The 13,159-nt window shown below is 41.8% G+C and overlaps 1 protein-coding gene across 57 annotated transcripts in view; it reads right to left on the bottom strand.

The window, feature by feature from the left end:
- GAPVD1 (GTPase activating protein and VPS9 domains 1) overlaps window positions 1-13,159 on the bottom strand; it is a 105,382-nt gene that overhangs the window by 46,501 nt on the left and 45,722 nt on the right. For 56 of the 57 annotated variants that reach the window (NR_148732.2, NR_148733.2, XM_047423183.1 and 53 more), the window contains 2 exons: window positions 12,827-13,016; window positions 8,095-8,255 (listed from right to left, as the gene is read on the bottom strand). Coding sequence is in view for 55 of the 57 variants with exons in the window: in XM_047423183.1 (XP_047279139.1) it covers window positions 8,095-8,255; window positions 12,827-13,016 (351 nt within the window). In the remaining 2 variants the exon portion in view is untranslated. Of the gene's footprint in view, window positions 1-8,094; window positions 8,256-10,389; window positions 13,017-13,159 lie in introns of those variants that run through there. The other variant, NM_001354293.2, reaches the window with a different exon arrangement.

Raw genomic sequence — 13,159 nt, 5'->3', positions numbered from 1 at the left:
TTGCAGTGAGCCGAGATCGCGCCACTGCACTCTAGCCTGGGCGATACAGTGAGACTCCATCTCAAAAAAATAAAAATAAAAAATCAATAAATAAAATTTTTAAACATACTAAATTTGCAAAATTTAAATAAAATTTAAAGTAAATAAAAGTAAATAAATTCAACTAGAAGAAAACGTGTAATCATGTTATTTTGTAGGCATCAAGATTTAATCCATCTAGTCTGAACGTCCACTTGATCACAACATACATACAGGGCCACAAAAGTCCACACCAGAAACTAAAGTATGACTTCACAGACATCTCCAGCTTAGACTGATGGCCTTTTTATATGCTTTCCATTTGCCAGATGACTTCCAAATAACATAACTACATCTCACTACTCCCTACAAGCCTCACAACTCAGCTTTGTGTGTATATCTCCACCTTAATGAAGAATTAAGTGCTTTGTTGAAAGTCACATAGCATGTTTTAGGTACACCTTGGACTTGAACTCAGAGGCCTTGGCTCCCTTGGCTGTTGCTGAAATATGAAGGAAGAATAGTACCCTCACTTACAAAGAAAAAAACTTACCACAAAAAATGAAAAATATGTGAGGCGATACAGGTTATTTAGCTTGATTCAGCCATTCCACAATGTATATCAAAACATGTATACCATAAATAGATACAATTTTGTCAGCTAAAAGATAAATGATTTTTAAACAGAAAGAAAAAAAAAATTCTTGGTTGCTGTTTTGGCTCTGAGTAAATTAAAGGTTTTGAAATGGTTTTATACATTTACACATGATGCCTTTAAATACAGGTTTTTTGGCTGGGAGCGGTGGCGGCTCATGCCTGTAACCCCAGCACTCTGGGAGGTCAAGGCCGGTGGATCACCTGAGGTCAGGAGTTCAACCTGGGCAACGTGGCAAAATCCCATCTCTACTAAAAATACAAAATCAACCAGGTGTGGTGGTGTACGCCTGTAATTCCAGCTACTTGGGAGGCTGAGACAGGAGAATCGCTTGAACCCGGGAGGTGGAGGTTGCAATGAGCTGAGATTGCACCACTGCACTCCAGCCTGGGTGACAGAGCAAGACTGCATCTCAAAAAAAAAAAAAAAAAAGTTTTTTTTTCCCTATTTGCTTGAAATTAATAGACATAGGCCAGGCGTCGTGGCACACACCTGTAATCCCAGCTGCTCAGGAGGCTGGAGAATCACTTGAACCTGGGAAGTGGAGGTTGCAGTGAGCTGTGATTGCACCACTGCACTCCAGCCTGGGTGACAGAGGGAGATTCCATCTCAAAAAAAAAAATTAAATACACATAAAATTTTTATTAAAAAAAATTTTTTTAAGATGGAACTCATTCTGTCGCCCAGGCTGGAGTGCAGTGGTGCAATGATGGCTCACCACAGCCTTGAACCCCTAGGCACAGGCAATCCTCCTGTTTTAGCCTCCTGAGTAGCTGGGACTACAGGTACACACCACCAAGCCCAGCTAATTTTTTTCATTTTAGTTCTTCGTATTATTATTATTATTATTATATTTTTGAGACAGAGTCTCAATCTTTCACCTAGGCTGGAGTGCAATGGCATGATCTTGACTCACTGCCACCTCCACCTCCCAGTTTCAAGCGATTCTCCTGTCTCAGCCTCCCAAGTAGCTGGGATTACAGGCATGTGCCACCACACCCGGCTAATTTTTGTATTTTTAGTAAAGATGGGGTTTCACCATGTTGGCCAGGCTGGTCTCAAACTCCTGACCTCAAGTGATCTGCCTGCTTCGGCCTCCCAAAGTTCTGGGATTACAGGTGTGAGCCACTGCGCCTGGCCTATTTATTATTAAGACAGGGTCTCGCCAAGTTGCCCAGGCTGGTCTTGAAGTCCTGGACCCAAGGATCCTTCTGCCTCAGCCTCCCAAAGCGCTGGGATTACAGGTGTGAGCCACCATCCCTGGAAATTTTTTTATTTTTGTAGAGACAAGGTCTTACTATGTTGCCCAGGCTGGTCTTGAACTTCTGGTTTCAAGCAATCCTCTCACCTCAGCCTCCCAAAATACTGGGATTACAGGCATGAGCCACCATAACTGGCCAACATAAATATTTTAAATTAGATAACTTAAACTATTCACCATAGTGAGTGATGTGAAACTAAAACATCAGGAGAAAAATCATTTCAAGGTCTGGAGATTCACGTGAATTAACAGAAAAGGGATTATATAACACAATGAAGATATTTTTTCCAAATCATATCCAAAGGCAAGCAATTTTGAGACGCCATACAGAAAGCCACTGTACAAAGTCAGTCACACTGGAGTATAAAATACAAAATACACACTGGAGTATAAAATACGAAAATCTAATTTCATGCTTCTAAATCAGAGCATCTGCAAACTCTGGATTAAACTAAAACCACAGAATCTGAGTGCTAAAAAAACTTTAGCTGGCCACAGTGGCTCACGCCTCTAATCCCAACACTTTGGGAGGCTGAGGTGGGCAGATCACCTGAGGTCAGGAGTTTGAGAGCAACCTGGCCAACATAAAGTGAAACCCTGTCTCTACTAAAAATACAAAAATTAGCTGGGCATAGTGGCATATGCCTGTGGTCCCAGCTACTAGGGAAGCTGAGGCAGGAGAATCACTTGAACAGGGGAGGCGGAGGCTGCAGTGAGAGCGGCCTCCCAAAGTGCTGGGTGTATCTTCTTAATGACTATTTATCAACATATAATGTCTTTGTCTTTTGTAATCTTTCTGCTCCTGAGACTAGATAATCTCAATTGATCCATCTTCAAGTTCACTGATTTTTCTGCCTGTACAAATCTGCTGTTGAACCCCTCTAGTGTATTTTTCATTCCAGTTATTATACTTTTCAACTCCAGAATTTCTATATGGTTCCTTCTGTAATTTCTACCCCTTTATTGATATCTTCTATTTGGTGAGACCTTGTTCTCTTGGTTTTCTTTAGTTCTTTGTCCGTGGTTTCCATAGCTCTTTAAGTATATTAAAAAAAAAATTGATTTAAAGTCTTGAGTAAGTCCAATGTCTGTGCTTCATCAAGGCCATTTTCTTTCTTTTCTTTCTTTTCTTTTTTTTTTTTTTTTTGAGACAGAGTTTCGCTCTTGTTGCCCTGGCTGGAGTACAACAGCACAATCTCAGCTCACCATAACCTCTACATCCCAAGTTCAAGCGATTCTCCTACCTCAGCCTCCCGAGTAACTGGGATTACAGGCATGTGCCACCAGGCCTGGCTAATTTTGTATTTTTAGTAGAGACAGGGTTTCTCCATGTTGCTCAGGCTGGTCTCAAACTCCCAACTTCAGGTGATCCACCCACCTCAGCCTCCCAGAGTGCTGGGATTACAGGCGTGAGCCACCGCCCGGCCATCAAGGACGTTTTCTTTTTTTTTTTTTGAGACAGAGTCTCGCTGTATTGCCCAGGCTAGAGTGCAATGGCGCAATCTTGGCTCACTGCAACCTCCGCCTCCCAGGTTCAAGCGATTCTCCTGCCTCAGCCTCCTGAGTAGCTGATATTACAGGTGCACACCACCACGCCTGGCTAATTTTTGTATTTTTAGTCGAGACGGGGTTTCACCATGTTGGTCAGGCTGGTCTCGAACTCCTGACCTCATGAACAGCCCACCTTCGCCTCCCAAAGTGCTGGGATTACGGCCATGAACCACTGCGCCTGGCCCATCAAGGACATTTTCTATTAACTTTTTTCCTGTGAAAGGGCCATATTTTTGTTTCTTTATATGCCTCATAAGTTTTGCTGAAAAGCAGACATTTTAAATATTATAAAGTGATCATTAAAAAGTCAGGAAACAACAGATGCTGGAGAGAATGTGGAGAAACAGGAACACTTTCACACTGTTGGTGGGAGTGTAAATTAGTTCAACTGTTATGGAAGACAGTGTGGCAATTCCTCAAGGATCTAGAACCAGAAATACCATCTGACCCAGCAATCCCATTACTGGGTGTATATACCCAAAGGATTATAAATCATTCTACTATAAAGACACATGCACACATACGTTTATTGAAGCACTATTCACAATAGCAAAGACTTGGAACCAACCCAAATGCCCATCAACAATAGACTGGATAATGAAAACGTGGCACATATACACCATGGAATACTATGCAGCCATAAAAAAGGATTAGTTCATGTCCTTTGCAGGGATACATGTGCCATAGTGGTTTGCAGCAATAAAAAAGGATTAGTTCATGTCCTTTGCAGGGATACAGATGAAGCTGGAAACCATCATTCTCAGCAAACTAATGCAGGAACAGAAAACCAAACACCGCATGTTCTCCCTCATAAGTGGGAGTTGAACAATGAGAATACATGGACACAGGGAGGGGAACATCATACACTGGGGCCTGTCGCAGGGGTAGGGGGTTAGGGGAGGGATATCATTAGGAGAAATATCTAATGTAGATCTATGGCACATGTATACCTATGTAACAAACCTGCACGTTCTGCACATGTATCCCAGAACTTATAGTATAATAAAAAAATTAAAATAAAAAATAAACAAATAAATGTTACAAAGTGGCAATTCTGGAAATCAGATTATATACCCTTAACCCCTAGTTGGTTGTTGCTGCTTGTTGTAGTGACTATTTAATGATCTCTCTAAATTTTCTGTCATGTGTGGCCTCTGAAGTTTCTGTTCTGTTAGCTTAGTGGTGAGCACGTGATTTGGCAGATTTAACACCTGGAATAACAAAACAAAACATTTCCAAGTCTTTGAAGATTGGCTCTGTTTTGGGGAACTTCAACACTTAGCCAGGCAGTTTGCAACTGTACCTTAGCCTTCACTTCCTACTTGGGTTCAGCCTGAAGGTTACCCAGCAGTGAGAGCTTGGATCTTCTAGGGTCTTTCCTGAGCACATGACCAGCCCTGGGTATGTGTACAACCTGGTAGATTCCCCAGAACACGTGGGAGCTTTTCAAAGCCTTTGTGCCCCCTGGTGTCTCCTTCCCAAGCCTCTTCCTTCATAAGCATTTGGATCTGTATGCGGATTGCCCTGACTGTTATCCCTTAATGCAAGCAGAAGCAACTAATATATCTGCTTTTCAATACTTTTGACAAATGCCACCTGTGTAGCTGCCTCGGCCCTGGGAAAGATCAGAGGCAGGCAAAACAAAGCCAAGCCTTTGAGACGATCTTTCAGGACCTACCAGACAGATCAAAATACACAACCATGCTGCTTTCAGAATAAGGTCCACATTCCTCCCTCAAGTACCAGCACACTGCACAGTAATATAAGCTGTCTTCAAAGCAGCCACTGGGCTGGGGGTTGAAGATGGTAACAGGGTAGGATCACAGAGCTCTCTTAACAAAATTCAGCAGTCTTTTTCTTCATTAAGCATTCCTTTGTTGTTAAAAGTTTTTTATTAGATTCCAGAGTTCCAAATAAGTTGATTCTGACAGTTTTTGCCAGCTTATTTGTGTGTGTGTGTGGAGGATGGAGTTTCGAAGATTGTTGGTCTTCTTCCCTATGGGGTATCATGTCATAGTCCCAAACACAGCTTTACCAACCACCATCACTTTATCAATCACTAAAACTGGCCTCTTCTTTCTAGCCCATTTTCTTGAATAACAAGCAATCACTGTTGAATATAAGAAGCTGCTACTGGCAGGGCACGATGGCTCACACCTGTAATCCCAGCACTTTGGGAGGCCGAGGTGGGCGGATCACGAGGTCAGGAGATCGAGACTATCCTGGCTAACATGGTGAAACCCTGTCTCTACTAAAAATACAAAAAAATAGCCGGGCGTGGTGGCGGGCGCCTGTAGTCCCAGCTGCTAGGGAGGCTGAGACAGGAGAATGGCGTGAACCCGGGAGGTGGACCTCGCAGTGAGCCGAGATCGCACCACTGCACTCCAGCCTGGGTGACAGAGTGAGACTCCGTCTCAAAAAAAAAAAAAAAAGAAGCTGCTACTTTTTCAGGAGGTCACAATTTCACAATTCTATGAGAAGAGACTCCTATCTTTAGGGAGTCAAGATTTCTTCTTCTTGTCTTTTTGTTTCTTTTTTCTGTTTTTTGTTTTGTTTTGTTTTGTTTTGAGACAGAGTTTCACTCTTGTTGCCCAGGCTGGAGTGCAATGGGGCGATCTCAGCTCACTGCAACCTCCACGTCCCGGGTTCAAGCGATTCTCCTGTCTCAGCCTCCCAAGTAGCTGGGATTACAGGCATGCGCCACCACACCCAGCTAATTTTTATTTTTAGTAAAGATGGGGTTTTACTATGTTGGTCAGGCTGGTCTCGAACTCCTGACCTCGGGGGATCCACCCACCTCGGCCTCCCAAAGTGCTGGGATTATAGGTGTGAGCCACCAGGCCTGACCTTCTTTTCATTCACCTTTAAGCCAAGCTTTTTGTTACAAATATATTAAAAATGATTCCCAAGCCTCAAACTCCATTTCTTAAAAAAATTTATTTTCTTAGTTTTCCATTATTTCTTCCATTTTTTCCTGACCAGCCAAAGAATACAACATGTATCTCAAAATACATCTCAACATATTTTTGGCTCTATAATGCAGGAATACTACTAGTATACCACTAGAAAGAAAATGAACACAAAACATTTCCTACAAGTCACTGGAAAAGTCTCTTTAATTTCCATACCACAATCTCCTGGCTTCATCTCTCTTCTGCTACTGCCTGGAAAATTCCTTATGCTTGGACCTATTCACCAACCTCAGTGCCACAGATGTATTAATGTGAAGGGCCTCACAACTGTTCACAGGGAGCTTAGCATGTGATGGTGTGTCATGGTGGGACCACTGAAGATAACAAAGAATTAAGCATTAAATTCATTGGCTGGGTGCAGTGATTCACACCTGTAATCCCAGCACTTTGGGAGGCCAAGGTGGGTGGATCACTGGAGGTCAGAAGTTCGAGACCAGTCTGGCCAACATGGCAAAACCCCGTCTCTACTAAAAATACAAAGTTAGCCGGGTGTGGTGGCACATGCCTGTAAGACCAGCAACTCAGGAGGCTGAGGCAGGAGAATTGCTTGAACCCAGGAGGCAGAGGCTGTGGTGAGCAAAGATCGCACCATTGCACTCCAGCTGTGCAACAGAGTGACACTCCATGTCAAAAAAAAAGAAAAAAATGGCTGGGCACGGTGGCTCACGCCTGTAATCCCAACACTTTGGAAGGCCGAGGCAGGTGGATCACGAGGTCAGGAGATCGAGACCATCCTGGCTAACACGGTGGAACCCCTTCTCTACTGAAAATACAAAAAATTAGCCGAGCGTGGTGGCGGGCACCTGTAGTCCCAGCTACTTGGGAGGCTAAGGCAGGAGAACAGTGTGAATCCGGGAGGCAGAGCTTGCAGTGAGCTGAGATCGTGCCACTGCACTCCAGCCTAGGTGACAGAGTGAGACTCTGTCTCAAAAAAAAAAAAAAGAAAAAGAAAAAGAAAAAAAAAAATTCATTGCTAGGATCTGAATGTTTGTGCTCCCCCAAAATCTGTATGTTGAAATTCTAACCCCCAAGGTGATGGTATTTGGAGATCGGGCCTTTGGAGAGGTGATTAGGTCATGAAGGCAGGGCCCTCACAAATGGAATAAGTGCCCTTATAAAATAGCCCAACCAGCCAGGCGCGGTGGCTCACACCTGTAATCTCAGCACTTTGGGAGGCAAAGGCAGGCGGATCACCTCAGTTGGGGAGTTTGAGACCAGCCTGACCAACATGTAGAAACCCTGTCTCTACTAAAAATACAAAATTAGCTGGGCATGGTGATGCATGCCTGTAATCCCAGCTACTCAGGAGGCTGAGGCAGGAGAATTGCTTGAACCCGGGATTGGGAGGTTGCAGTGAGCTGAGATCGTGCTATTGCACTCCAGCCTGGGCAACAAGAGTGACACTCCATCTCAAAAAAAAATAAGCCCAAAGACACAGCAAGAATACATCATCTATGAACCAGTAAACAGATCCTTACAAGACACTGAATCTGCCTTGACTATAGACTTCCTGGCCTCTACAAATGTGAGAAATAAATATCTGTTGTTTATAAGCCACCCAACCTCTGGTGTTTTGTTACAGCAGCCTGTATGGACTAAGACATGAATATTGATTTATAGAAGCAACTGATTCATACCTCATTTTCTGACATCATCCCTGGAGTAAGCTGGGGACCTGTACCTAAGGAAATGACCAACACCTCTTCTGGTTGCACCTCCTGAATGGTTTCTTGAGATGATCCTTCATGGTCCATATGTAGGTCCATTAGCATATTGGTGCGGCTTCTGCTCCGAGTTGCTAATAAAAAATTTCAAATAAAATAATTTAGAGAAATAGACAAATGAAGAAAATGGTATGCTAAATATGAATATATTTTCTATTAGTGCAGAACATTTGCACATGCACAAGAGTGGTAAAAAATATAAATAAGAAAAAACAAAACAAAACAAAACAAACCAGATCCTCCCAGTTACTCTACTGACTAATAAAGATTCTCCTTCAAAACTGATAATCAAGAACAATGATCCAAGTGCATCTGACAGGAAGTGCCACACAGATGATCACATCTGCAGAACAGCAAACATGTCACAATAAATTTAAGACTTGGAGTGACAAGAAAAGCATTACCTCATTTCTTATCTTTTTAAGATACCTTCACTATTTTTCCTATAAATTGATGTAACTGCTACAGGTCTCCCATACCAATAACTGAGCTTACAAGCATTAGAAAATTTCATATGAGGGATTACTCCTGTAATCCTAGCACTTTGGGAGGCTGAGGCAGGTGGATTGCCTGAATTCAGGAGTTCGAGACCAGCCAGGGCAACACGGTGAAACCCCATCTCTACTAAAATACAAAAAATTAGCCAGGCATGGTGACATGCACCTGTAATCCCAGCTACTCGGGGGGCTGAGACAGGAGAATCACTTGAACCAGGCAGACGGAGACTGAAGTGGGCCAAGTTTGCACCACTGCACTCCAGCCTGGGCATCAGAGTGAGACTCCATCTCAAAAAAAAAAAAAGAAACAATAAAGAAAATTTTATATGAAAACCTAATAGCCACATAAATAGGATACTTTAAGTTAGGCAACTGTTAACAAAACCAGAATCAGTGTTGGTTTTTTTGAGACGGAGTTTCACTCTTGTTGCCCAGGCTACAGTGCAATGGCGCAGTCTCGGCTCATTGCGATCACCGCCTCCTGGGTTCAAGCAATTCTCCTGCCTCAGCCTCCCAAGTAGCTGGGATTACAGGCAGACACCACCACACTTGGTGAATTTTGTACTTTTAGTAGAGACGGGGTTTTGCCATGTTGCTCAGGCTGGTCTTGAACTCCTGATCTCAGGTGATCCACGCACCTTGGCTTCCCCAAGTGCTGGGATTACAGGCATGAGCCACCGTGCCCAGCCCAGAATCAGTTTTTAAATGTACCTTCCCCCCCTGAAATGCATTAATGTCTTTTCAAAGATAAAAGAGAGAAAATTTATTTATGTTTGGAGAAGAGGTCCTTTCTGCTTTGGAAACAGTATAAATTAATAAAGGCTTCAATTATTTTTGTTTCTTTCCCCTGTGTATAAGCAGATGAAAAATATTTTTTTCTAAAATAATTGCTGGGTGTAGTGGCTCACACCTGTAATCCTAGCACTCTGGGAGGCTGAGGCAGGTGGATCACCTGAGGTCGGGAGTTTGAGACCAGCCTGGCCAACATGGTGAAACCCCGTCTCTACTAAAAATACAAAAAATTAGCCGGGCATGGTGGCAGGCACCTGTAATCCCAACTACTTGGGAGGCTGAGGTAGGAGAATCACTTGAACCCGGGAGGCGGAGGTTGCAGTGAGCCGAGATCGCAGTATTGCACTCCAGCCTGCGCGATAAAAGCGAAACTCCGTCTAAAAAAAAAAAAAAGAAGAAGGCTGGGCGCGGTGGCTCACGCCTGTAATCTCAGCACTTTGGGAGGCTGAGGTGGGTGGATCTCCTGAGGCCGGGAGTTCAAGTCCAGCCTGACCAACATGGAGAAAACCCATCTCTACTAAAAATACAAAATTAGCTGGCGTGGTGGCACACGCCTGTGATCCCATCTACTTGGGAGGCTGAGGCAGGAGAATGGCTTGAACCCAGGAGGCAGAGGTTGCGGTGAGCCGAGATCACGCCATTGCACTCCAGCCTGGGCAACAAGAGCTAGACTCCGCCTCAAAAAAAAAAAAAAAAAAATCAAGAAAAAAAGTTTCTATTTTCTTTCAGAAGACAATAAAATTCAGTACAACCAGAATACTAAATAGAAATTATGTTTTGGTACAAAATAATAAAAAATACAGACATAAAGCAAAAACAACTATAGTAGCAGCAAAAGTCAACTTCACATTGTATGAAAGCTGACCCACTTGAAGACAGAGGCAGAAATATAAACAATCACCTTTCTTTACAATGCTGATTAATGTTCATTAATCACTTTTAATCTGAAAATTCAGAGCACACATCAATTTCCAAGTCTAAAATAGGCCTACTCATACCTTTATTTGCTCACCCTATCTTTTACTGAATTGCAAATTTAAATTCAAGTTCATAAACAGATCTATGAATCATAACAAACTCTGTAACTATAATTTATAAAAATGCAAGCAATCAAATTTTATGTAGCAATTTACATAAAGTAAAAGCAACATGCACATGGAGCATACTTTTATAAACTATTTCTTAAATAAAATTATAAAAGAAGAGGAAGAACAGCCTATTACCCACCAAACGGGGTTACTACTGTAATATGAGAGGTAATATTGGTAGCTGAGGAATCCCAGGCAGTGATGGCTGCTAACTGTTGTCCTGGGTTGCAAAAGCATTAAATAGAAAGAAAATCAACCCTCTGAACAATGGACAGATTTGTTAAGATACGAAATAAATGCAATAGCCAGGTAACAAGACTATACAAAATAATATTGGGCATACATTTGAAATTCACTTTCCATCAGACTCATATTTAATGACACTTTTGGATAACGGGAAATGAAAAAACTAATGTATAGCAGTCAACAATGGAGAAAAAATCTCTGATTTACTAAAAATCATTTACTTCATCATGTGAACAGAGTGCAAATAGCCCACAAAAAACCATTAAGTGCCCGGGCACGGTGGCTCACACCTGTAATCCCAGCCCTTTGGGAGGCCGAGGCAGGTGGATCACCTGAGGTCAGGAGTTCAAGACCAGCCTGGCCAACATGGCAAAACCCTGTCTCTACCAAAAATATAAAAATTAGCCGGGCGTGGTGGTGGGCATCTATAATCCCAGCTACTGGGGAGGCTGAGGCAGAAGAATCGCTTGAACCTGGAAGGCAGAGGTTGCAGTGAGCCAAGATTGTGCCACTGCACTCCAGCCTGGGCAACAAGAGGGGGACTCCATCTCAAAAAAAAACAAAAAACAAACAAACAAAAAAAAACACCAATAAGTGTAAAATCGCTTTTTCTATTTTTTATTTTGAAAACTGACATTTTGGGGTGATACAATAAGACAAAGACTTGAAGAGTATGATGCCACACTCCTGTTGATACAATTCCACATTACGTTAAATATAAGGTAGATTAATTTTAAGAAACTGGCAGTTCTTAAAAAATTAGCTCACAGAAGTTTAAAAGTAAAATCCCTCTCTTCAAAATGCATAAATTAAAAAGAACTATGTTCACTAAGTGTTGCTGAGTTCCTCGTTATAAATAGGCAGGCACTAAAATACTCCTGTTCCCCTGGCTTAAACACTTTTTCCTCATCTTGTTTACTTTGTCTAACTCCCATTCATCACAAAGTGCAAACAGACTTCACCTGCTCCAAGATCTTCTCCTGATACCACTACCATTTTGGCTAAGTTAGGTGTCACCATAACCCTCATATTTATCTCCTCAGAACGCTTAGTATGCTGAAGGGTACTAGTCTCTTCTTGCTCTCCCTAACTAAACTATCAACAGCCAACTTGACAGTAAGGGCAGGTCCTAATGGTCTTTGTATCCAGTGTCTATCACAGTGCCTCATGTGCAAGACACATCCACTCTCACAGGACTTCTGTGGGGATTAAATGAAACAACATTTATAAAGTGCCTACCCACAGTATGGAACATGGTATATGCTCAATTAATTTTTTTATAGACAGATAGATAGCAAATGTTAACCAAGCAAATAAGGCTTAATTAAATAGAATTCTTAAATAAACAAACTTGAAAAAATAAAATGAAACTTTTGCTTCATTTTGTAATATTAAGATATCTTAGCTCAGTTGATAAAAGACTGATTGTTAATGAAAATAATAGAAAATACTATTATTTTCCACTTTATTGATGGAAACTTCTAAAATAATATTGTTTATTATATTATTTAGAACTTTGTAGAAAGGAGGGGGCTACATAATTTTTTTTTTTTTTGAGATAGGGTCTCACTCAGGGTCACCCAGGCTGAAGTGCAGTGGCACAATCATGGTTCACTGCAGCCTCGACCTCCCAGGCTCAAGCAATCTCCCCATCTCAGCCTCCCAAGTAGCAGGGACCACAGGCACGTGCCACCACACCAGGCTGAGGGCTACATAGTTTTAAAGATGACTACTTATAACATTTCCAAAATTTTTTCAAGAAAAGACAATAAAATTTAAAGAAAGTATACTGTGGATAGCATGACTTCAATTAATTATGAAAAGTATGTAGGCAAAGCTAAAGACTACTGATAAACCTTAACTAATCTGATACGATTTCTAAAAACTGAAATACCATCAGTAAACATGAAGAGAAAGACTTTCCCAAGTACTTAAACATATGTTCCAAAACACTCAGCAATAACAAAGGCTAATGAAATATTAGATTTAAGAGAAAGCTCCAATACGAGAAATTCTCTTTACCTATAGGTAATCGATTCTTTTTATTTGCTGGAGTGGTTGCTGGAGATAGCTGAGGTGTATTGTAGGGAGTCATTTCTAAACTGCTACTTTTTCCTGGCTTGGCCGGGGGTAGGTTTGCCAATAAATTGTCAAGAGCCATTCTATCTTCTCTCAGTTGATCTCCAGACATCACACTCTTCATAAAATTCACCTGGCAAAAGCAAAGAACATTAGCTAATGAAATCACTTTTTCAAATACAATATGTATTTCCCACACAATGTACTCATGTATGTTTTTGCTCACGCTTAGCTAAAAGACTTTCGAGAAATTCTCTTAAACAATGAAGCCATTAC

The sequence above is a fragment of the Homo sapiens genome, chromosome 9, assembly GCF_000001405.40.
Source record: "Homo sapiens chromosome 9, GRCh38.p14 Primary Assembly".
Classification (NCBI taxonomy): Eukaryota; Metazoa; Chordata; class Mammalia; order Primates; family Hominidae; genus Homo; species Homo sapiens.
The sequence above is the reverse complement of the archived record's forward strand: the minus strand, read 5'-3'. Positions and strand labels throughout refer to the sequence as shown.